At 41.5% G+C, this 22,467-nt stretch overlaps 1 protein-coding gene and 1 long non-coding RNA gene across 3 annotated transcripts in view; both read left to right on the forward strand.

Moving 5' to 3' along the window:
* Positions 1-6,756, forward strand: part of LOC124900945 (uncharacterized) — a 70,896-nt gene extending 64,140 nt beyond the window's left edge. Inside the window, exon 2 of the long non-coding RNA XR_007058701.1 lies at positions 5,263-6,756. This is a non-coding gene — a long non-coding RNA (uncharacterized LOC124900945). The remainder of the gene's footprint in view (positions 1-5,262) is intronic.
* A 3,632-nt stretch (positions 6,757-10,388) lies between these two features.
* Positions 10,389-22,467, forward strand: part of FBXL7 (F-box and leucine rich repeat protein 7) — a 439,614-nt gene continuing 427,535 nt past the window's right edge. The window contains exon 1 of one of the 2 annotated variants that reach the window (NM_012304.5): positions 10,389-10,922. In NM_012304.5, coding sequence (NP_036436.1) covers positions 10,886-10,922 — 37 coding nt within the window. In that variant the 5' untranslated portion in view covers positions 10,389-10,885. Of the gene's footprint in view, positions 10,923-11,646; positions 11,933-22,467 lie in introns of those variants that run through there. The other variant, NM_001278317.2, reaches the window with a different exon arrangement.

Here is a 22,467-nt window from a genome sequence, read left to right on the forward strand (position 1 = left end):
AGCCAGAAAGAACATGACCTCAGGTCTGGATTATAGAGCACAAACGAAGCTGAAGATTGCTGAACAGCCAAACAGGTTCAAAGTTAATTGTACTTGTGATGTTTGGCTCTCCCCTGAGCTGAGCAGTTGGCCAGACCTTCTATAGGCTTTGATGATACTGCTGTGTACCAGCTGAGCTCTGGGAAGCAACCCCTGCTGCAATTCTTACCAGTCTTTCTTGCTCAGCCAGCAAACAGGCAGCCAATCTGGGTTGGGTGGAACAGTAGGAGTCCCAGGCAGGGATGATAAGCATGCCCTTCTGGCACTGTGCCTGGCTACCGAGCTTGTGCATTCCAAGGCATCCTGTGGTAGGTGCTTGGGAAGGTAACTGGACGATCACAGTCTCCCTTTTCTCCGCCAGATCCACCAACTTACCTGCATCTAATTCCAGAGCCTACCTTCCCTCTGTTTTGATGAAGCACCTAATCTTGCTCCTAATCAAGACCAGTCCTTTCTCTTGTATTTCAGGTTCCAATCCTTTTCTTCAACTCAAGTATTTTGCTTCTATCCTATTATATTTTCCTTTCTACTGGACTATTCCCGTTAATATACAAAAATCACCGAACAGAGCCTGCCCATTCAAAAAGCAAAAAACAACACAAACCTGTGTCTTTCTCCTCAATGCACTCCAGTCTTGTCCACACTACTACACTGAAATGGCTTATGATGGGTCTCCTAACAGCTCACCATTTACACCTGCTGCCAAACCCATGGTCTACTCATTGAACATGAACAGTTGGCAGCATTTGACACACTGGGCTGCTTCTTCCTTCCTGAAGCATTTTCCTCTTAGCTTTTCCAAAACCCCATTCTTCTGTGTTTTTTCACACCTTATTAGCCGCTCCTTCTCAATCTCCTTTGCCAGTTCCCTCTCCTCTGTGAGATGGCTAAATGCTGACACTTATTGGGGTCTGTCCTTAGCTTTCTATAATATCTACATTTTATTCCTAATTTCACTTATCTTGGGCCATAGCATTAAATGCTGCCTTTGAGCTGAATACTCTCAAATTGAACAGATAGCAACATTCCCTCTTGATACCCAAATCATCAAGTCAACTGCTGACTAAACAGCTCCATTTTGTATCTGATGGCTGTCTCAATGTTAGCAGTCCCAGAGTTTGGACACAAAAATCCCTTCCAGACAACAACCCTACGGTGCTTCTCCTTCATCTTCCCAGCTGATTTCTACCCTTTGCTCAAGCAAAAAAACCTAAACATAATCTTAGATTTTCCACTTTTCTTTCTTTTTTTTTTTTTTTTAAGAGACAAGGTCTTACTGTCTTGCCCAGGCTGGAAGGCAGAGGTGTGATCATAGCTCACTGCAGCCTCAACTTTCTGGGCTCATGTGACCTGCCTCAACCTCCAGAGTAGCTGGGACTACAGGCACATACCACCATGCCAGGCTTATTTTTTAAAGTTTTTGCTAAGATGGGGTCTTGCTATGTTGTCCAGGCTGGCCTCAAGTGACCTCCTGCCTTGGCTTCCCCAGTGCTGAGATTATAGGCTTGAACCACCACACTTGTCTGATTTTCCTCTTTTCTCCTACAAAACAACCAGGTGAGTTTTGTTGATTCTACCCCCCAAATACATCTTTAATCTGATCATGTTTTACTTGTCTACTGCTATTATTGTGTTAATTGAAGTCAAACTTTGTTCACCTATTCTACTAGCATGGAGACTTCTTCGCAGGTCTCTGGCTTTCCAAGAGTCTCCCCATTCTCCACACTAAATCCTGCTGATCTTTTAAAAATATCAACCAGATCAAATAACTTCCCTACTAAAAATCTCCCTATTTTGTATTGTAATTACAATAAAATTCAGAATGAATTTTTTCATTCTCACAAAACACTGTATAATCTGGCCATTGCTCCTTCTTCCACAAATCTGTAAATTTTCCATTTATTCACAACATTCGGGCCATGCTAGCTACAGTGAATTAGAATATGTTTCTTAATTTTTCACTCCCTCCTCTGTCATGTGACCTTGCAATGCACAAAAGTGGGCCAAGCATCTCCCTCCTCCATTGGATTTGCATTTGGCCATGTGTCTTTATTTTGTTTGTGATGCTTGTGGAATTTTCAAATGCGCTTATGAGGGTTGGCTTGGCCTCTGTCAGCTCTATGGCCAGCCATGGAAGATCATGCTGTAGGGAGCCTTATCCCCTTTAGCCTGGGCTCCAGAAGGACTTGTGGGAGAAACCTGACCTGAATTCTAGGCCAAGTACAAATCATCCATAAGCCTGAATTAAAGTGGCGCCAAGTGATCTACAGAACTGTGAGCAAACACAAAAAGAAGTACAATTGCTTGTATCTTAAGTCACTGAGTTGTGGGACAATCTGTTACATAACATTAGAGCAGTAGCTGACTGATACCCTGGTCCCCTTTCTTGCCTTGGAATATGCCTAGCTCATTCTAGTCTCAGGAACTTTGTATTTTCTTTTCTCTGGAATATTGTGCCCCCCAAAGTTCCACTTAGCTATATCCTCTTCATTGTTCAAGTCTCAGCACAAACTTCATATCCACAGAAATACATTCTCTGATCATCCCAGCTAACGTAGCCACTGCCAGAAAACTCAGCTCCTGTATACCATTATCTTGATTTACTTTCTTCCTAGCTTTTGTCACTACCTGAAACTATTTATTTGTATATGAACCTACTTATTGTCTGTCTCTACTCATGATGATTCTATCTCCATGAGAGCAGGGGCTGCATCTACTTTATTCACTGCTGTATCTTTAGGGCTTGAAACAGTGTTGAACAGATGAACGCATTCTGATGTGTGTATTGCACCATGCTCCACCATATGCAGGTAGGCTGTAAGTACCAGGGATGAGACCCACTGGCTTTTGTCCTGGTGTGGAGTCATGACTGGAAGATAGCCAACTAGCCAGAGACTACATTTCCCAGACTCCTTTGCATCCAGATGTGGCCATTGAATTTGTTCTCACCAGTGGAATGTGAGCAGATGTTATATGGTATGACCATCCCATTCATGTTTTGTGCCTTCTGCTACTGTGTGTGAGTGATGTTATGGTTGGTAGAGCTATACATTTTAAGAAGCCTGGATCCCTGAATTACTTTGAGGATAATAATCTCTAATGAAATAATAGCATGTGTTTGGACTATTTTATGAGCCAGGAATAAATTTCTATTGTGTGAAGCCAGGTCACTAAAATTTGGAGGTTTTTTTGTTACAGGAGTTGACTTTACTTCAACTAAGCCAATGATATGGTTTGGATCTGTGTCCACACCCAAATCACACGTTAAAATGTAATCCCCAATGCTGGAGCTGAGGCCTGGTGGGAGGTGATTGTATCATGGGGGTGGTTTCTAATGGCTTATCACCATCCCCCTAGTGCTGTTCTCATGATAGGGTTCTCATGAAATCTGTTCATTTAAAAGCATGTGGCACCTCCCCCGACAACCCCCTCTTCCTTCTGTTCTGACCATGTGAAGATGTTCCTGCTTCCCCTTCACCTTCTGCTATGATTGTAAGTTTCCTGAGGCCTCCCCAGCCATGCTTCCTGTACAGCTTGTGGAACTAGGAGCCAATTAAACCTCATTTCTTTATAAATTACTCAGTCTCAGGTATTTCTTTATAGCAGTGTGAGAACAGACTAATACAGGCAGTAACCTATGCTTACATCACCCCAGACTCCTCATTTGTTTCTTGTTTATGTTTATGCAGATTTTCCATCATCTTTGTAGAGATTTTTCTCATCCCTCTCCCTATTAGGCAACCAGCAGGAACTTCTTATAGCTTCTCAGATGTCTTTAGCAATACTCCTAATGCCTTGCTTCTAATTTGCTATGTTCTAAGAATCCAGATAGTTAAGCATACTACGACTCTGAATACATGCTATCACGCTCTGAGCTAAGTACATAAATTTTGTGATGCTGATTTGGGCTATTATGGGATATCGGGTGGTTTATTCTCTGATAAAGGATAATTGCCTGATAAAGGAGGGGTAATAAAAAGATGTGGAATTATGTGTTAAATGTAGAGTCACGGCCGATGTGCAACTGTTTGGAAAGTGTATGGCTATTGCAATATTTAAAAGGAGAGCAAACGTCCACTTTTTCCCCAGAGCTTGGAAGGAACCTTGGTGAGGAGATAAAGTTTCAAAAAACTTAGCTATATGGTCTTTCTTTCTGTCTATCTATCTATCTATTTCACGTTTACTGTCTATTTAATCATCTATCTCACGTTTGCTCTCTATCATCTATGTATCTAATTTATCATCTATCTCACATTTGCTGTGCTCTAAGCACTGCACATGCTTATATACTTACATATGTACCCATTCTACTACATTATCTATTTGTGTTATTAAAATGTTTACATTAAATATCTAGCCATTCATTATTATTATGACAACGATAAAGATTTATGCTGCATAATAAATATTTGTTTTGAAATCTAGTTCAATTTCACAGATGTCAAAAGATGTTTCACTCTCTATTAAATACATACACTCTCCACTGAAAGCTGGGCTTGGTCCAAAACCAGGGTAGTATGTGAAGGCATGATATTGGTGACAGAAAGCAGTGAGAAATATCAGAAGCTTTACAAACAGACCTGCTTCCAATCTTGCTGTGCATCATTATGGAATTTACTCAGCTTCTCTGAGCTTTGATATCCTCATCCATAAAACAGTGTCTAGAAGTGCTGCCTGATAAAGTTGTGAGCATCAAATGAGACAAGCAAAGTGCTTAATTCAAAACAGCACAGAGGTGATAATAAAATAAAATTAGACTGTGTTTTTTTATTCTTCTTCATTTTTACATATTAATAATGTACAGAATCAGTGTTTGGTATGCGGGATATAATTTATATGTTTATTTTTTGTTTGCTATAAATGTTAATTTTGCCCAGAATTCAACTTTATGTTTTGATAATAAATCTGTATTGATTAAAAACAGTATTTCTTCTTTTAGAAGATCTCATGCATGCATTTAAACACAGCTCTACAACTGGGCTGCTATTTTCCACTTTAATTGCAGTAACAGAATATGCAAATTAACCATATTCTGAAATATAAAAATAACTAAAGATAAGCAGGTGATTCAGATTTTTGAAGGCAACTCAACAGAGAAGAAAGTCAAAATAAATGTGAAGAAGCTAAAAGCAGAAGCTCTTATCATACAACGGTCTGGTTCATTTTTTCCTTTTACAAACTAATATTTCTTCTTAATTTTTTTTTGTACTTTTGTTAAACCAGGGATTCCAGTTTTGAATGTTTCCCAAGATGTGTTTCACGGGAGAGTTTATTTTGTCTACAGTATCCCCAAGGAAGCTTGTGGTTAATGATGTGCTCCTGCAGGCGCCTGGCAGCCAAGGGGACCAGAAGAACAGAAGAGGCGCCCTGATTGGCTCCTGGGATTACAGCTTTATTAATGCGCTCTGACAGCCTGTCTGTCACTAGCGCCAAGCGGAGAACATTAACTTGAACCTGACAGCTCCACCCCCCAGAGAAAATGAGGGCCTAATGTGTTATAAATCAAGCTGGCTTTTGAAATCAATATTCCTAAAAAAATACTACTGGAAGAAAACACATTCCTATTACTCAGAGTGTTGACATATTTATTAAAGTAGCATAAAGGCCACTGAGTTAGTCACTAAAAAATAGAAATGAAAATGTGACTATCAATTGAAACTTAGACGTTTCTACCTTTATGTTTCTCTTTTTTTTTTTTTTCTGTATCAGGTTCACACATTGCAAAGTAAATGGGAGCTATTTAGCAAATGGCCAGTTCCTTTCATCAATGGAGTATGAAATTCTGGTAGCTCAAGGCTCAAGGCTCAAGGTTTTGAATAGGCACCATTTTTGGCTGACTACTTTGCCTAAATCATGCAGTGCTCAATAGACCTGAATGTAGATAGACTGTACACTAAGAAATCAGTTCTCCTGAAGACATTTGTTCTCCCAGGTGAATGTATGTGTGTGAAGTGCAAACGGGAGGTACAGCAAATAACAGCAGAAAAAGAATATGTAGAAATAGTTCTGACGGAGAGAAAGAAGTTTCTTTCTTCAAAAGAAACTTTATGTTTTGAGATAATTGTAGATTTCACATGCATTTGTAAGAAATAATGCAGTTACCCAGTTTCCTCCAGTGGTAACATCTTGCAAAACTGTAGTGCAACATCCAGACCAGGAGATTGACATTGATAACGTCAAGATACGAACATTTCCGTCACCACAAAGATATCTCATGTGGCCCTTTTATAACAACATCCATTTTCCTCTAGCCTCCAAATTACCCCTGAGAATCACTAATCTTTCTCTACTTTTATAATTTTCTTATTTTAAGAATTTGGGAAATTGTTAGCCAGTATTTCTTCAAGTACATTTTCAGCTCTTCCCTCTTTCTTCTCTCTTTCTGAAACTCTGATGACACGAATGTTAGATCTTTTATTATAGTTCCACATGTCCCTGAGGCTCTATTCATGTTTTTCAGTCTATTTTCTCCGTGTTCAGATGGATAATATCTATTGATTTATCCTCCAATTCAATGATTTGTTCCTGTGTCTCTTCCATTCTGATATTTAGCCCATTCACTGAGCATTTTATTTCAGTTCTATTTTTCAGCTCTGAAGTGCCCATTTGGTTCTTGTTAATATCTTCTATTTCTTTGCTGAAGCTTTCTGCTTTTTCATTTGTTATAAGCATATGTGTAATTTACTCATAGAATAAATGTTTGTACCACGCTTGAAATATTTTTCATAGCTGCTGCAAAATCCTTGCCAGATAATTCTAACATCTCTGTCATCTTGGTGTTGCCATTTATTAACTTTTTTATTTAATTTGAAATATTCCTGGTTCTTGGTATAATGTGTGATTTTTAATTCAAACCTGGACACTTTCATATCATGTTAGTAGACTCTGGATCTTATTGAAAGCTTTTAACTATCTTTTTCTGATACTGCTCTGCCAGTGAAAGGAGGGAGGACACCTTATAATTGCCAGGTGGAGGTAGAACCCCAGAATCCCCCTTGATCTCTGTTGTTCCCTGACCTGAGGGGGTTCCTCCTTACTGCTGGACGTCCACTGTGAGAGTTCCAGCTTCCCACATGGTCTCCACTGACAGTGCAGTAGGGATGACACTGCTACCCTTGAGTGATGGTGAAACTCCTGACTCTCCACCAGGTCTCCCCCGACACCTCCTAGCAGGGAAGCAGAGAAGCACTTGCTTCTGTCCTTATAGCCAGGTGGGGGTGGGTGTTGGACTGAGTCAGCCTGGCCCTTACGGGTACAGGAAGTTTACCACCATTACCATGATTGACAAGCTTTCACAGGAAGCCCATGGTTGAAATTTGGACGAAACAGTTTCCCAAAGTACAGGAGCTGGTGTTAGCAGACTTCCTTACAGGAAAAGGTCCTGAGTGGAAAAAAACATGAGATACCTAGTATATTCTTATTCAGCTTAGGTAATTTTGAATGTTTATTTAAAAAAATCCTTTTAGTGATTGTGGCCTCTTTAAAAAGGCAATGACAGAGAAGGTACAATAACATTCAAGTCACATCATCTCTTTGTTCAACATTCACTCATTCTGCTAGTGTTTACTGAGTGAGTACTTTGTGTTAGCAGCTGTGCTAGGTATTGGGAGCACACTGGTGAAAAACATACCACCCTTGTCTCAAGGAGATTGCCATACTGTATTGAAAGCTGGGGATTAGGTTTGGAAGCTAGGTAAAAAGCTTGGAATTTTGGGTTAAGACATTGGTACAATATCTTAACTTTGAAAATTAAAATATATAAACGTGAATAGGCCTGTATTTGCAGCTGGAATAGTGCTTTTCTTTTTGTTTTGCTTAATTGGCTGTGGCTTTTATAGTGAATAGGCCAACATGCATTTTTATCAACTTCTATGATCAGAAGGATGTTTAAAAATCAAGTATGCTTTCCATTTTGTTTTAAGCTGGAATTTCATAAAATGAGTTATCTCCATTTCCCAGTAGAGTAGGCAATAAAGCTTTGAAAAATATTTACAGAATTTAATTTCAAGAAAGATACATGTAGTTGGTCACCAGAATTTACTTTTCACTGTTGGCTTTAATTTGATATTAAAGACTCTGAAAAGAGACCCAATCGAAAAGGGAGGACAGTGACTCCCAGTTGAATAATGGCCAGGTCCAGAGAGGCAGTGGCGTGGGGTGGAGAGAAACTGAGAAACTGAATCAATCTGGCACTTACCATCTGGGTGACTCTAGACATTTAACTCTTCAAGCCTCAGTTTCTGCTGTCCGTTTTCCCATTTGTAAATTGCAAGGGAGAGACTAAGACCGTCAGGGAAATAATAGCATATAAAAAGCAAATTGTCAACTGTACATCAAACTTCAAGAAGAGCTTCCTTTGTTCTACTACTTTACACCCAGTTTATTTTCAAATATGCCTCCAAAATGATCAGATCCAGGGTAAGTTCCCTGCATGGTGACAGAAGAATCACAAAGACCATGCTATACTTTGAATATTTGTCCACCCCAAAACTCATGTTGAGATTTAATCCCCAATGTGGCAATTTTGAGAGGTGGGACCTTTAAGAGGTGATTGGGTCATGAGGGCTCTGCCTCCCGAATGGATGAATCCATTCATGGATTAATGGATTAATGGGTTAATGGATTTACGGGTTATCACAGGAGTGGGGCTGGTGGCTTTAGAAGAAGAGGAAGAGAGACCTGAACTAGCACGCTCAGCTACCTCACTGTGTGGTGCCCCGTGTGCTGCCTCCACCAGCAGGAAGGCTCCCGTCAGATGTGCCCCTTGAGCTTGGATCTTTCAGCCTCCAAAAAAATAATTTCTTTTCTTTGTAAATTACCCAGTTTCAGGAATTCTGTTATAAGCTACAGAAAACTAATACAGACCAGGTGAGCAGAAATTCGCTTTTGCATGAAGATAAAGTAGACGTCAGCTCCTTTCTAGATTGGATTTATGCTTTCAGGTAGAATCTGAAATAACTCACTCTTCCAAATTTTTGATATCTCTACCTTCTTTAGGGCCTATGACACAGGTTTTAGATATAATTTGACAGACATTTAGGAAGCACATATTATTGGCCAGTGTGCTGGATTCTAGATATTAAAAGATGAATTAAAATAGTCTTTCATCTCTTTGGACCTGGACAGTGGAAAAATCAGCACAATACAAAACATTTGATCCCATTCTTGAAAATAGATTATTATTTTTTTCTTTCAGTACATGATATCTAGATTTAAAAATCTTGAAATATGGATGTTTTATCCCGTTGTTACAAAGGAAAATTGTAGTAAATAAAGGAAATTACCCAAATAGAATCTATAAGAAGTTAAATCACTAAGAATTTCTGCATGTGGTCACAAGCCTTTTAAGAAATACGTAATTACAAAACGCCTGGTTCTGTATTCACGCATCATATGCATATATCTATGTATGTATATCTCTATATACGCATATTTATGTATGTATGCATCAATATACACTTTTAATTTAATTTGCAACATCTAACATCTACAAGGAAAAACTGCTCTGTGCTTGCCTCACTACAAAGAAATTTGCACGGTGAGTGCCCTGGTCTTTATTAGGATGTAATGTTATAAAATTCTAGGTATTTACATGAAAAGGGAATAAAACATTAAGGAGAATTTCCTTTTTCTGTTTAATGCAGCGAACACCAAAGGGCCATTTTAAAGCTGTAGAAGTGTCACATAAATTTCCAAAAGAGGCTATAATGTTTTAAACAAAGGATAACACCAACCACAAGAAAAAAAAAAATCACAGAAACGAGGAGAAAATACATTTCCTGGCTCTGAAGCTGTTAAACATTCTGAGCCAGGAAACCTCCTTCACCGGGGCGGGGCAGGGAAAGTCTGGCTCTCCTGGGACCGACTCCCTGCTAAGTCGCCCCAAGTTTTCCCTCCCTCTGTCTTCCATTTTCCGCCCCAGTCTCCAAACAGGGAAGTCACAGGAGAATGCCAACGCATACACCTGAAAGGTGTCAGAATTAGACACGGATGCGTGTTTATTTTAAATGCCCACGCACTTAAAATAGGCTGTACTTGCAGACAAACTCAAGGGATTCCAAACGACGCCTGGAAGTTCATCTTATAGATTGGGGGCCAAGCCTGTAAAAGAACAACAGTAAAACAGAGCCAACAGGACGTTGCTTCGCTCCGAAGGGTTCGCGCGTAGCGCGCTGAGCCGGTGCCCAGGCTGGGGCCTGGAGCCGCAGCCCCGAAAAGGCGCGCTGCCCCTTTAAAAGGCCGCGCATCTCCGGGCCGGCCTTCCTCCCCGGGGCTCCAGCTGTGATTGACGCTGGGCGGCGAGAGGAGGCGCCTGGCGCTAACAAAAGTCCGGCCCGCGGGCGAGCTGCGCCGGGTCGCTAGTCTTCACTCGCTCCGGGGACCCGCAACAAGTGGCCGCCGCGCCCTCCCCGGGGAAGCCGCGGGCGCGCAGGGGCAGCCGAAGGAGGCGGTCGAGCCGCGGAGCCCAGGGGCCTGCCCGGCTCAGCGCCCACCGGAGGGGATCGGGGCGGGCGGATGGGGACCCGGCGGCGGCGGCGCGGTGAGCCTCTGGGCGGCCCCGGGGCGCGGGCTGTGCGCGGCGCTGCGCCCGCCGGCCCCCAGCGCGGATTGTAAGTGCTGCAGCTGTGCCCGGCCCCGCCTGGAGCCACCGGGGGTGCCAGGAGGGGACGCAGCACCCCCTCCCACTGGAGTGCGGGGACCTCTCCAGGCCGGAGGTCGGCCCCGGAGCTTGGGGGGGATGTGCAGCTAACGGTCCCGTCGGGCGGGCTTTCCTCGGGCCGAGCGCGCAGGACGTGCGCCGCAGCTATGGAGTGTCCCGGGAGACGGCGGGCATGACGGCTACAGGATGGGCGCGAACAATGGCAAACAGTACGGCAGTGAGGGTGAGTGGGCCGCCCGTCCTCAGACTCCCGGATCGCGTCCCTCCTCCCCTTTCCCTCGCCCTCCCGACTGGGAAGGGAGGTTCTCGCCCGCGGCCGTGACGCACCCCATTTGGCACCCTGTCTGGGTCACCACCTTCTCCTTTGGCAGTGAGTGACCAGTGAGTAGGTCAGGCGCCCCGAGGATGCTTTTCCACTGTGGGGGTCTCTTTAAGCAACTTCCCAGTTTGTCTTTGGGAAGGCTCAAGTTGCATCTCTGCTGTGTTTCTGAGCACATATGCCTTAACCTTCCTTCCCTGGGCATCTGGGGTTTAGGAGATGATGGTTTGGCAGATGGCGGAAGACGTTTTTGAAAAATAACTCAGTGAAAACTTTCCCGGGCCTTTGTGCTCCAGCCCCCTGGACTCTACTGTAGCAGAAAAAACTTCTGGAAGGAGAAGTTAAGTTTCCATTCTTTGCTCGCTGCTCCTGCTCTGACAGCTTCATGAAACTAAGCACCTATCAGTCCTGCGAGGCGTGGAATGGCTGGGGGCTTTGTCTGGTCTCTCTCGGGGCTGGAGACGGGCAAAGGACCATCTGTTACGTGGGGCTGGAAATTGCACAGAAATATTGCCTGTCAAGTGGGAACTTGGAAGTTAGGGAAACTTTAAACTCCACCTACTCCTAAAAGGATGATGGATGTCTGGGTTGGCTTCTCCCTTCTCTCTCCTACCTCCTCCCACTCTGCATAAAACCGTAGCGTTGTATCCCAATTAGCAGCTAGCCCCTGATACGCATAAGGCAAAGGCATTTTTCTGCAGTTCAAAAGTTAAGAAGGTTTGTGTCTAGTGGTCTTGGCTGAAGAGGAGTGGAAGAGACCGGGTCAGTTTTACAGCCCGCCCCCAGAGGACAGTTGGTTACAAAGGAGGGGCCAGCGCTTGCAGACTGGTAGGAATGCAGGCTAGCTATTCAGCCTGTGGCCTGGAGGAAACTCTTATCATCCTGTTCGAAACTTTGAGCTGTGGCCACAGAATGTGGGTGTCTCTCCTCGTTTCTCAGCAGTTTTGTGAAATTACAGCAGAAACCGACCCTACAAAAACCATATCCACAAGAACCTTTTCTTTAAGTCATTCTTTTTCCAGATCATCATGTTTTGACTTCCATATGTGCATGTGTATGTGTGTGTGTGTGTGTGTGTGTGTGTATCTATGTATATTTCCTTGTCTTGGGCAGTGATTTGAGTTTTTTTTTTTTTGACAATTTTTTTTTTAAAGTTAAAGGCTGCCTTTTTAGATAGCAAATGTGAAAGTATGCCAAAAAAGATTATTGGAGAATCTGGGCCACTCCCCAAAACGTCTTAGAGTTAATATTATAAAAATGTGAGGAAAAGTAAGTGATTAAGCCTTCTTACTCCGAGTTATTAAAAAGCTTTCAGGATATAATTGTAGCATGTGCTTGTCAGTTCTGGGTGTATGCTAGTTGAACACTGTCGGGGGGAGAAAGACAGCCCAAGGGGTACATAGAATCACTGCTATGAGTTCTTTCTTGAACAATCCCCTGCCCCCACCCCACCCGCCTCCCGCCCCAGCCCTTCTAATCCTCTGCAACTTGTTCTTCTATCCCAGCATTCTCGTATTGTGCAGTGTGTGGTATATGACGACTTCCTGTCTGAACAGCAGAATTTTCAACCCTTGGGAGAGAAAAGGAGAGACAGGGAACTAATGTTCTCCAGCTGTTATCCTTAAATGCTACCTCTGCATTTTCACTTCAGCCGAAGTGAAATTTCACTGGGATCAGATTTAGATGCACTGTGGACTTTTTATAGGAAAAACCTCTTGTGCTCAGCTGATTCAAGAGGACCAATAGGAAGCTTTACAAGGTAACTGTGAGTTTTGGCTAGAGGTACACACTGTGTTTAGTTTTCATCAACTTTCTTCAAATGCATCGAGATTCCTCTGTTACAGGTGAGGAAAACAGAAATAGAATGACCTTCTTTTTTCTTCTCTAAACCCCACCTATACTGTGGCTCCTCCCAAATAGGGATGTAATATATGTAATGGGTTATGGTCAACTTTGTTATTCCATGGTAGATTGCAAATAACCTGCTGGGCTCAGGTGTGGCAGTGCCATCTTTCTTATCTAAAATGTTACATTTCAAAGAAAGTAAAAGCAACCCCTAGACATAGTATCTTTATTATCAAAGCTGACTGAAAATTAAGACAGTTTTATAGAGTTAGTGGATTTTCTGTATGGTATATCTCAAACATAAGGAGGAAATTATCCATGAGTGCATAACAATAAAATACAGTGAGAGATTTATTAAAGTAAAATAAATATGGCTTGAGAAGTACTCTGTACTTCTATATTTGAGTCCCTGTGAACTGCAACCTAACTTAATAGCTAGGCAAGATTGAAAACCTTAGGCTTATGTACCTGTAACAATAGCTGAGGTCGGGCGCGGTGGCCCACACCTGTAATCCCACCAATTTGAGAGGCCGAGGCGGGCAGATTACTTGAGGTCAGGAGTTCAAGACCAGGCTGGCCAACATGGTGAAACCCTGTCTCTACTAAAAATACAAAAAGTATCCAGGCGTGGTGGCGCATGCCTGTAATCCTACCTACCCAGAAAGCTGAGGCAGGAGAATCGCTTGAACCTGGGAGGCGGAGGTTGCAGTAAGCTGAGATCACGCAACTGCACTCTAGCCTGGGCAACAGGACAAGACTCCGTGTCAAAAAACAAAACAAAAGAAAACAAAACAAAACAAAAGCTGAGTCTTGGCCAATCCCAGCAGCCATATTCAACCAGTCATACACTGCTGAGTGTTCAAACTGTGTTTAAATAAGGCAAACGCCAGCCTGTAACCAATCTTGCTGTTTTCTGTACCTTACTTCCGATTTTTGTATGCCATTTTCCTTTTTTTGTCTCTAAATCTTCTTCCACCATGTGGATGTCCTGAAGTCTCTGTGAATCCACTGTGATTCTGGGGGCTGCCTGATTTGCGAATTGTTCGTTGCTCAATTAAATTCCTTTAAATTTAATTCGGCTGAAGTTTTTCTTTTAATAGATAGCTCGACTATAAAATATTAGTGTTTATGTTTCAAAAATCTGCAACTTAAGTATATTTTACTTATTAATGACAGTTGACATCGCTGTGCAAATGTTTGTTGAATATTACAAATATTGTTGAATTATTAGAACTTTTAACACGTCAATATTCTGTTGGTAATCTCATTATCTTCTGCTCTTGGAAAATACCTTTTCATTAAAAACAGTTATTCACGAGGCTTACCTTAGCAGATGTAATGGGCAGAGGCCTCCAACTCAGTGTATTCCAAGGACTAGCGCTATCCGCATCACCTGGGAGCTTGTCAAAAATGCAAAACTACTCCATCATTTATCACGTGCATGTTAAAGTTGAGAGAACTTACTGTGTAGAGTACAGAGCATTGACTTGGGAGTCTAAAAATTTAATTTCAGCATCAACTCCGGGGTGTTTGTTCTCTAAAGTGAAGAGAGAAATTTCTTGACATTACTTGTTATTATGTGTTCCTTGAATGTGTAGTCATTCATTTCATTTTTCTCTTATAATGCCGTAAGGGACCACTTCATAGAGATTAACTTTGGAAAGACATTAACTAACAGGGAAGTTAAGACTGTTATTACCAAGAAATCAGTAAATATTCCTCCCACTTTTGTCATCCTTTTTGATCTCTCGTCTCTGTCTTCCTCACGAACTCCCGCCTCCTCTTCTAACTCAACCAGTCCTGAAATCCTTGCTTTTCTCCATAGATCAAAGGTATGTGTAAATCGATAATGAGTGTTTCCAAAGTGTTTTGTTTTCCTAAGTCCTTAGTGAATATTCAGGTTATTGGACTAATTTGCAGCCCCATCTCCTATTGCTGTTAGAGAGACTTGGATTTTACTCCAGGGATAAAGCTAATATCTACGTGATTAGTATGGTCTGGTAAATTCTTTTATGGAGGAATTTTTTTGTGTGTGTATATCTCTTTCATAAAGTGTAAGTCCATGTGTAGAAATCTGGAGAATAAGTTGGGGTGCTTCAAAGTCATTAGAACCATTAGCTTTGACTCCAGTTAAGCCAAATAAATCTCAGTTCAAGTGGGAAAAGAGAAGCTGCTCTCCCTGCCTTTTAAGGTTTCTGAGCCTCACCATCACTTACTCAGTGGTTTCAGTGTCTTGTTTATTCTGCTTCAGCAGGTCAGAGGCAGTACCATTTTCACTGTTAACAGCTTGTTTGCAAAGCCGAGGACATTGTTGAATTGGGGCTGATGAGAGACCATAGGGAAAGGGCGAGATCCTTGGTAACTCTGCTGCTCTACCAAGGGCAGTGAATTCCTTTCACCATCTCAGATCGGTGCTGTCAGATATGAGGAGAGCCATTTGCCTGAGAGCATAAATCTTCACAAATCCATCGCCACCTCAGGAAACATATCTTGAAATTATAATAACAGTGGCAGCTAACATTTATTGAAAGCTTTCTATGTCCGGGCATAATTCTAAGGACTTGCCATGCAGCGACCCACTTCATCCTCGCAAGGATCTTGTGGGGTAGTTACTTGTAGATTCCACATTTTACTAATGAGGAAACATAGGACCAGAGAGGATGATCATTTTCCCAAGGTCATTCAGTGAGTGTAGGCTGAATGGGGACCCGGGGCCAGCTCTATCTAAGCCCAGAGTCATTATTCATTCATTCAACTTAAATATATGTTAACTTTTTACTTCCCGCTATGGGCCCAGGACTCATAGATTCTTAGGATAAGTCAGTAAACAGATGAAGGTCCTGTCCTTGTCATTCATAAATGCTTGTGTGTGTGTGAGCTTATGTGTTGGGAGGAAGGGGAACTAGAATGGTGAACACCCACACACAGTAATTCAGTAAACCATGTGGTACACTATAAGGGGCTAAGGTCCCTGAATAAAGAAAATTGTCAGATTAAGATGATTGGGAATATGGGCGTAGGGTATTACATTTTAATTAGAGCAGGCACCATGAGCCTTACTGAAAAGTTGGCATTTAGACCAAGACCTGAAGGACATGATGGGCTGAGCTTTGAGGATCCAGGTAGCATGCTGGCTGCTACTTTTAATCACTGTGATGAACCGAGGGACATTCAAGTGTCCCCCACATCCGCTGGGGATGAATTCTGAAAACCCCAGTGGATGCCTAAAACTTGGAGAGTACCGAACCTGATTGCAGTCAGTCGGAACGTTTCTGTCCATTTCTTCAACCCTCAAATTTAATTCCATCTTAATTAAGCACTTATCATGCATGGTGGCTCTAACTTTTACAGTTTGAGGTAAGACAGCAAAGCTAGCAGGAATTTCTTTTTCCTTCTTCACAGTTTTACGGATAGAATATTCATTCTTACTGTAAATCTTAGCAGCCTCAGCATACAATTTTTTTTTTTTCCTGAAGAACTTTCAACTTTTCACTTAAAGGAAGCCGTTTATGACTTCTTGGTCTATTTTAATTGCCAGCATCATTCCTGTCACACTTTGGGGCCATTAAGAAGTAGAATAAGGGTGACTTAGACACAAGCACTGCAATCCCTCCACAGTCAATTCGATCACCGAGATGGCTATTCCGTGACTCCAGGGCAGGAAGTGTCTACAGTGTGGAGTTGCTGGACCTCCCAAGATGGTGTGAGATTTTATCACGCTACTTGGAAAGAACTCAAAATTTAAAACTTAGGAATTGTCTATTTCTGGAAATGTTTATTTACTATTTTTGAAATACAACCATGGGTTGCTGAAACTGAACAGTAAAACTATGGATAAGGGGGACTTCTGTACAGTTTATGCTTGTCTTAGACAGTTCAAGCTGCCATAACAAAGTACCATGACCAGGTGACTTATTAACAACAGAAATTTGTTTCTTACAGTTCTAGAGGCTGGAATTCTGAGATTGGGGTTCCAGCACAGACAGGTTCTGGTGAGGGCCCTCTTCTGAGTTGCAGATTGCTGTCTTCTCATTGTATTCTTGCATGGCTGTGAGGGAAAGAGAGCAAGCTAACTCTCTGGCCTCTTCTTTTAAGGGCACTAATGTCATTCATCAGGGTTCTACCCTTGTAACCTAATTACCTCCTACAGGCCCCACCTCCAAATGCTATCACGTTGGGATTAGAGATTCAGCATATGAATTTTGGGAGGGCACAATCATTCACTCCTTTGCAAAGTGTGAGGGCATAAATTTATCATTTTGCACAAAGTATAACATTATCCGTCTTCTGTAGTCAGCTATTAATCCAATGCAACAGGGTCAGTCTGGCCACTGGGCATACTAGATTCTTTGCTAATATGTTTCATCCACTTATAACAGATAATTTGTGACTTCATTCAAGGGAAGGGAGGAGAAGGCCCAGGGCGTGCTCTTCAAACGTAATATCCTATTATTGCTTTGACTACTGAATGCTGCCTGACTTATTGGATATGTGCATATTGGCCTAAGATATCTCAAAAAATCACCCTAGTTCTGAGTAGAGGTAGGTGTTCATCTTTTGCCTCTAGTGACTAATTTCATTCTGATGCAAGTCAGAGTTAAGTGATACTGTTCCACTGTTAGTTTCAAATAAAAGCATTAGTGCAGCTAACAATAACGTCTTTGGTCTAACAATGAGAAGATATTTTTTCGAGATTTGGGGATCTTTTTGCACATTTAAAACAAAACAGAAAATAGAGGTAGCTTTTCTTTTCACTTGGAAATCAACTCACATAAACTGTCTTAACTCTCTTTGCCTTTTGAAATAGAATGAATTCTGGATTGATTTTGAGTATTAAGATGCACTTTTGTCCTAAGGCCATATCCACTGGTGTCTCTGAAAGCTGCTTAGATAACTTTGCCTGGCTTTTTGGTAGAACTTTCTAGGTATTATGCATTTTAAGATGGCCTTAGGGATGTAATAAAATATGTGACAGCATCTGGAATAAAATCTAGAGTGAATAAATTTCTTGAATGGATGAAGGGAATAAATAAAGTTTAGATACTTATATACAGATGCTCCTTGACTTATGACAGGCTTATGTCCCAATAAAAAAAGTCTTAAGTCAGGTGGGGCATCATGGCTCACTCCTATAATCCCAGCACTTTGGGAGGTTGAGGCAGGGGATCACCTGAGGTCAGGAGTTCGAGACCAGCATGGCCAACGTGGTGAAACCCGGTGTCTACTAAAAATACAAAAATTAGCCGGGTGTGGTGATGGGTGCCTGTAATCCCAGCTACTCAGGAGGCAGAGGCAGGAGAATCACTTGAACCTGGGAGGTGGAGGTTGCAGTGAGCCGAGATCACACCATTGCCCTCCAACCTGGGTGACAAGAGCAAGAATCCATCTCAAAAAACATATATATCTTAAGTCAAAAATGCATTTAATACCCCTAACCCACCCAACAGCATAGCTTAGCCTACCCTACTTTAAATATTCTCAGAAGACTTACATTAGTCTTCGCTTGGGTAAAACATCTAACATCAAGCCTGTTTTATAATGAAGTACTGAATATCTTCTGTAATTTATTGAATGCTATACTGAAAATGAAAAACAGAGTGGTTGTATGGGTACTCACAGTACAGGTTCTACTCAATGCATGGGCTTTTGCACTATGGTAAAGTTCAAAAAATCATTAAGTTGGGACATTATCTGTACCTTAGAAAATGACATTTGAAGAGCTGTCATGAAGAAAATTAGACTTCAGAGTGCTGAACAAAGAATATACATAAGTTACAAGAAGTTATATTTGGCTCAGTCTAAGGAAGATCTGTCTAATGATTAGAGCTGCCCAAATCGTAGCTGGGCTACCTAAGGAAAGAGTGAGCCCTCTCAAATGGGAAGGTGGTAATCACAGTGGAGGAGGTTGTGCTAGAGATTTCTGCATTGAGTAAGGGGATCAACTATCTGACCCTGAACCACGTTCCCTAGGAAACATTCTATCACATAATCACATGTGATTATGTTTGATGAAGGGTTATTAGTTCTAAGTCATGCTGCTACTTTTTCTCTTTAGTACTTCTTTCTCTGTCATATTAGTTACTGATTAGAAAATACTTCCCTCACTTTTTCTGGGCTAATTATGCATGTGAGTGTATTATACATACGTGTTTATATCTATCTAAATATATTTAGATATTAATTTTGAAAATCTACCAATTTTCTTTATTTCTTTGCCTTTGGTGGGAGATAACCTGCACCAAAAATTGGATGTGATAAATGATTTCCTATTTTCAGTGCAGTAATGGATACCAAGTAAACTTACAGCGTTATCGTTACTTTTATTACTGCCCTAAAACACGTAGATCTACTAAACTTGAAGCAAGACCCTTAATTGTGTTTATGGTGAATGACTTGAATAAATCTTTTCACTTCGAGATGACTTTTAATTGATGTTATTGGTCAGTGATATTTGATCAGAAGCTACAGACTAGAACCATACAAAAAGGGCATCTTCCTCAGGGAGCGCTGAGGCACTTTTGTATAGCACAGGGTCTGCTGGGAGGGGCAGAGTGGCAGTTCTTCCTCCTGGTAATAAAATCAGTGTTGGTGGAACTTCCTCAGAATGTAGCTTCTTTCTTTTTTTTTATTCCTGCTATAGCTACAGAAATTCAGATCTCCTCTTTCATCTCTTACTGCATTAATCTCTAGATACAATAAGATGTACTCTAAGGAAGTTCAGAGTCTAATTGAGAAGCTAGGCATGGAGGCCAGTGATTTCCAAACAAGATAATCTTCCTGATTCACAGAAAGACTCTACTTCCCCAGTGTGCTAAATGTGGACATGAGTGAGAAGTGGGAAGTGCGCCTAAGAATTGAGTTACCCTCTAAGTAATGACAACCCTGGACAACGTCTTTAATTCCTGAAATGTCTAAAAGATGTGCCTGTTTTCTAAAAACAAAACCCCAAAACCAACAACAACAACAAAAAAAAGTGAGTAGCTGGGAGGAAGTAGAGTGTAGGCTCTTGGGAGAAGCTAAATATTTTGTTTAGAGATTCTCCCTGGTTATCCTCAAAACCATCATATTCCATTTCTCATATGGCTTGGTCCATGGAAGGTGATTCCTGTGGGTTCCGTGTAAGTGAGGACCATGGTATGCTTTAGCAAATGGGCGGAAAAACCTGGCCTGCCTGGGTGCTTCCCCAGCCTGTGTACCGCAGAGAATAATAGTGGAAGCTGGTGGGCAGCTACTTCTAAAACGTGCTAGTTAATACCCCAGAGAGGGACAGCTTTAAAACTTTTGACATGAATAATCACTGACCATCTCTGAATTTTCCTGGGTAATGAAAAACAAGCACATGGTCAGCATTTTCCCCGTTCCGTAGTTGAAAAAGTGTAGACTGTTTCTGGAACTGCAAATCTCTATTAGGTTGTGAATTACATTTACTCATTCTATCAGTTCCTCTTTAAATTCTTAAACCAGTAACAAAATGAAAAACAGTTGTTAGCACTGCGTGAACTCATAATTGTAACTGTAGAAGCCATGAGCAATGTGTAGAAATGTTATTAAAACATTTTTTGTTTGCTACCCTTTCTGTGGTAAATTCCTTTGCTGCAGTTTCTGTGCAGATGTAGCAGTGGAAAGGGAGTCAAAATTTCTAGAGAAAAATTTCAGGAATTTCTCTGATATTTGTGGATTGGCCCTTTTGCTGCAAGTAAGCCACTTTTTGGCAAGGTGGAGAAGTCAGGAAAAGTCTACTTATATGTGAAGTTGAACCTTTTGGTTCTATTGAGTACTGGGGTCAAGTAGTAGAAGCATCTTGGTTAAGTCCAAGACCAAGGGCAGGTCTTAACACATTCCAGCTGTCAGTGGTAACTCAGACCCCAGGAAGAAGAAGAAGGTATGCAGCTGAGGGAGGGGAGGAAGAAAGAACATAAAAATAAGGAGAGGAGAGAAGAGGACAAATTCAGGGAGATTGGGAATTAGAGCATCAATTGCCCTCTAATGTAAAAAGAACAAAATCAATGTTCTACTTAACTCTCTTTTCTTCAAAAGAAAACTTAGGGGACAAAAATGATTATTAATAGATATTTGGTAAGCTTGGCTATTGCCAAGTTTATTCCATTTTCAATCATTTTAATAATTATAGCTAGCAGTTATTGAGCACTTACTAGGTGCCACTTGCTCCCAGAGCACCTTAAGTCATTCATGTAATGCTAAAGACAGCCAATGAGGCTGGCACTGGTGATTGATCCCACTTTACAGTTACCCACACAGAAGCTTAGATGCCAACTCCCTACCCAGGGCACACAGCTGGTGTGTGACTGAGTCACGCCGGATTTCCCCGTGTTTGCTCTGGAGACCATGCCCCTCCTCACCCTGCCCATCACCCTCATTTTGGTTGCAGCCCAAATCTTTCCCAATCTTTGTTTTGTTTGTGTGTTTAAAGGAATTGCAGTGACTGAGAAGTGGCCCCTTCCAAATGACAGTTTTATGGGCTAGGTGATCAAAAATGAAAGGCATCTTCTGAGGGAAACTTTTAACTCATTTTGTTCCCTTTCCAAAAGAAAAATTAACTGCTCATTAGGAAACAATCTGCTGACAAATTGGCAGGTTATCCAGTGTCTGTAATAACTTTGGCATATAAAATGATGAGCATATTCTTTAGAGTTCACAGAGTGAAAGTAGAGCTGAGAGGGTGTTCTCTAGGTTCTCCAGGACATTAGTAACTTTTAATTGGTCTTTGCGCTGAAACAGCCCTTTACCTGGGGTAGCCTTTGTGCCTACACACAAGCAAAAGCTCATGGAGGGCTGAGAAGAGTGTACACATTTAACTTCTATTCTAAATAGCTGAGAGTTTATACCTCATATTTTCCTCTGGTTTCAAAGCTACAAATTTAAAACAGCAGATGCTATGGGGAATTATCTCAACATATATTGGAGAATTTGCCCTTCTTTCTCACCAGTCCCTGGCCCAGGCTTCTCCATGATTATTTTTGTGAAATTGCTTTGTAAATTATAAGGCATTTCAGGAATTAATCTCATTTATCATCACAGGAATGGTGGCAGGGGCATCTATCATTATCATTAGTTTATAGGTGAGGAAACTGAGGTCTTGGCAGATGAAAATAGGGACCTGCAAAGAACAATGGGGATCCTTTCATCACTTTTGCAGCTGTATTAGGAATAGAGAAGTCTGGGTCCTTATTGGTCATCTCAAAACACAGGGCCAAAACCCAGAAGTGTAGCTTTGAAGTGGTAAATTATTATGAGAATGCGGAGTGAATTACTATAAGACAAAAGATCATGACAAAATGACATTATTCATTACAGTACACTTCCTGCTTAAAACAACTCAGCAGGGGCTCCCTCCTCTGCAAAACTCTGTTTGGGACATTAAGACAAAGTTATTTTACTATTGGGAAGATCAGAGAATCAGCTCTAAAACTGGGGACCCTCAGCATCACCGGAGTCTTTATTTTCTTCAGTCTTCTCTTATCCTTTGTTGTTGAATAACTGCATTTCACAGAGGTCTTTGGAAGTGTTTAGGTCCTGGGGTAAGCCCTTTAGGATGAGTTGATATCAGAACTCATTGCTTTTCTATCATTGTTGAATAGAAATC

The sequence above is a fragment of the Homo sapiens genome, chromosome 5, assembly GCF_000001405.40.
Source record: "Homo sapiens chromosome 5, GRCh38.p14 Primary Assembly".
NCBI lineage: Eukaryota > Metazoa > Chordata > Mammalia > Primates > Hominidae > Homo > Homo sapiens.